Here is a 3,268-nt window from a genome sequence, read left to right as displayed (position 1 = left end):
GACATAGATGACCTGAAGGGCCTCCTAAGGGCCCAAGGAGCTCAGCAGCTGTAATCGACGGCAGAACTCTCCCAGGGTGACTGGGGACAAGACTGAGACCACTGGGCTGGGCGGCCCAGGATAGAAAGCCCTGTGCAGAGTTCTTGGCAGGGCACTGTTATAGCTCAGTTTTATGAGCTCTTAAATCTCAACATTTTCTAAAATGAGGGAGCTGGGCAGAAAGATTAAGCACTGCCAGGCCCTTTAAATCATCAGCGCCAGCTATCCTGGGGGCTAGATTTGTTTTAGACCCTGGCGTGATCTCTGTGTCAAAGACCCATGGAAATGAACAGTGGATAAGAGCCTGAGCTCCTTGCCAAGTTCTACCACTGACTAGCTGTGTGATCTTGAGCAGGTGAACCAACTTCTCTGTGCCTCAGTTTCCTCCTCCAAGAGCCCTGTCATAGGATCTGATGACTCTGAGAGATTTGATGGTTTCTAGCTCCAGGAAGAACCCCTCCACTCCCACCTCACCCCCAATAACCTGGAACTGCAGGAGAGCCAGGAGTAATAGTTCTGTCAGAGTCCCCACCTCTTAAATCAGTCACAGTCAGAAAAAGATGCCCTGAGTCCTTTCACACAACCCAGGCCCCAGAATACCCTGTAATCACTCAGCATCCCTTGGGCTCAGGGTATAGATGCACCTGGGTTACTATCATGCTCCTAACTTGCTGAGTACCTCTGGACAATTCGCTTAGCCTCCCTGAGCCTCTGAGAAGCACCACAATGCTCCCAGGACATCCCATAGAGCAAAAGCACACCAGGTATGAAAATCCTTTGGAGATTGTAAATCTCTGTGTAATACATTCATTCATTCAACAAGCAACTACTGAGCCCCATGCACCAAGCACTCTGCTGGGCCCTCGAGGTAGAAAGATGAGTGAGGCTCCATCCTTGCTTGCCAGAGGCTCATGGCTGCATGGAGAGGGAATTGGCCAGCAAGCACCTATTACAGAGAATCAGGGCCCTCGGGGAGCCCACAGGAGAGGTCTCCCGGGTGCCCGAGGGTCAGGGAGGCTCCACGGACGGGGCACCGGCAGTTAAAGCATCATGGACCCGAAGGAGCTGGCCAGGCAGAGGGGGACGTGAGCGTTCCAGCCACAGAGAACAAGCAGCAGGGGAAGCGCAAGGAGGGCGAGTGCCATGAGGGGCAACACCAAGTGTCTGCCAGGGCCTGGGGCCTGTCTCAGCAGAGAGGTGGTTAAGATGGAGGAGGGGCTTGTGGGCCGTGGTGAGGGGGATGGGTTGTAACCTGAAGGATGTGGGCTGTCAATTAGCAGCAGTACCAGCAGCAGCAGAATGCAGGAGCCGCGCTCGCTGCAGTGCTAACAGCTGGTATTTCCTAGGCACTTAATACGTGCAGAGCCCTGTGCTAGGTCCCTACATTCTCCCGCATGTTCACCACAGAAGGTAGGGCCGGGTATTGTCTGTATTTGGCAGATGAGGTGACTTTGTACTGAGCCTGAGGCCACCCAGTGAATCTGAAGCAGAGTCAGCCGCAGTCCCATACTCCTCTCTGGGACCCTGGATAAAGTGCAGCCTCCCTGCTAGGTTCCCCCAGATCCCCAGGGGCCCCAGTGCAGGCTTCTCCACTGACATCTGCGGTACTCCTCCCTCTGGGCCTGCCTGTCTTCCTCACCCAGAGCCAGCACCACCTGGCCTGCATTTACCCTCCCTCCCCAGGGCCTAGCCTGGAGCCTGCCAGGAAGCCCTGTCCCCAGATAGTGCACTTTGAAATCCTCTTCATTAGGCTCCTAATGGGGGAAATTTAAACCATGAGCTTGAAGCTTTCCAGGGCAGTGAATAATATTTACGGTAATATTGTTTTAGGAGATCAAATATTTATAATAGTGTAGACTCCATCGTATTGCCCGTTGTCTGAGTTTCTGGGGCTGCAGTAGCTGCATTATGAATGGACCCTGTCATTAAAATGCTTTCAAAATGATCTGCGCTCCTGGTAGCTGCTCTCCAGGGACCATGATGTGTCCTAGTGTGAGAGACACTGCCCAGGGCTCAGTAAGCCAGGTTCCTTCTCTAGCAGAGACACGGGGATGGCCACCCTTATCCCTGCTCCCTTGACTGGGGGATCCTGGGTTCCTAGTGATAACCCTTATCACATGACATTGTAATTACCACCTGTGTTAATGGATTCCTCACCGAAGAGTTCATTCCTTAAAGGGCAGGACAGTGTCTGTCTTCTGAACAGTTGTTTCCGCAGGGCCTAGCCCAGTGTCTAACACACGGTAGGGACAGGGTCTGAATAAATGATCACGGAATAAACAACACGCCTCTGAACCCAGAATTTTCTTTAAGAGCCAGTTGTGGATCCATCAAAGGAAGATTTTGCTGCATCTTGTTTTCTCTTGTTAAGTTTTCTGCCTATGCTTTCTCATCATGAACTCCATCTTACAAAGGCACAATTCCTTTTGCCAAAGTTGGAGTCACCCTTTCCAGGCCTAAAGTTCATTCTTGGCTTAACTTGCTTTTTCTGAGCCATTTTCTTCTTTCTCATCCTCATCATATGATATTACTACATTATAATTAAGAGAGGCTTATTTTATTTTTATTATTACTGCATGATTATTCTTTGTTATTTCTCTGTCTTCTTATCACAAATCATTACCCCCTTGGTCTTCAGCAGACTTCTCTAAACCGTCTCCAGTTCGAGGATGCCCAGTGACTAACATGCATTCCACACTCCACCTGGAGCCAGTCCATTGCTGGGTTCCGCAGGAGGCAGAACAATGTCTTCTAGCAGGTGGACAACATCCAGGCTTCCTGGCCTTTAAAGAATGTCTTCCTGCAAATAACTGCTGAGAATAGTTTTCAGGGACTTGAGGACCCTTTGCAGGTTGAATTTGATACCTCAGTAGGATTCAGTTCAGATTAGGGAGACAATGACCCAGATGCCAGGATATTCCTTTCTCCTGAGGACACTTCCCAAGTCAACTGATGGAGCGGCAGACCCTATGAACTCTGGGGCCAGGGCCAGCATCTGTGATGTGGCGTTTACACATGCAGCCTCCATTTACGTGGACAGAATGAGATGGACAAATCAAAGCGTGGCCATGAAGTCACAAGGCTATGTTTATTTCATGAAGTCCTAAGGCTGATTTTCTGGCTTGGCCCTGAGAGCCAAGAGAGGTCTTCAGTGTTTCATATCAATTCTATTAGATGCAAAGTATAATCAAATACTTTTTGAAAATTTAAAATAACTTTCATTTATCAG

The 3,268-nt window shown here is 49.8% G+C and overlaps 1 annotated feature.

Moving 5' to 3' along the window:
• Positions 671 to 1,236: an enhancer, noted in NCBI's record as "H3K4me1 hESC enhancer chr10:100081209-100081774 (GRCh37/hg19 assembly coordinates)". NCBI's record gives its function as "activates a minimal SCP1, AML or CMV promoter by ChIP-STARR-seq in primed H9 embryonic stem cells {active_cell/tissue: H9 hESC(primed)}" and the evidence as "EXISTENCE:reporter gene assay evidence [ECO:0000049][PMID:30033119]".

Source organism: Homo sapiens, chromosome 10 (genome assembly GCF_000001405.40).
Source record: "Homo sapiens chromosome 10, GRCh38.p14 Primary Assembly".
NCBI lineage: Eukaryota > Metazoa > Chordata > Mammalia > Primates > Hominidae > Homo > Homo sapiens.
This window is presented reverse-complemented; position numbering and strand designations above follow the sequence as displayed.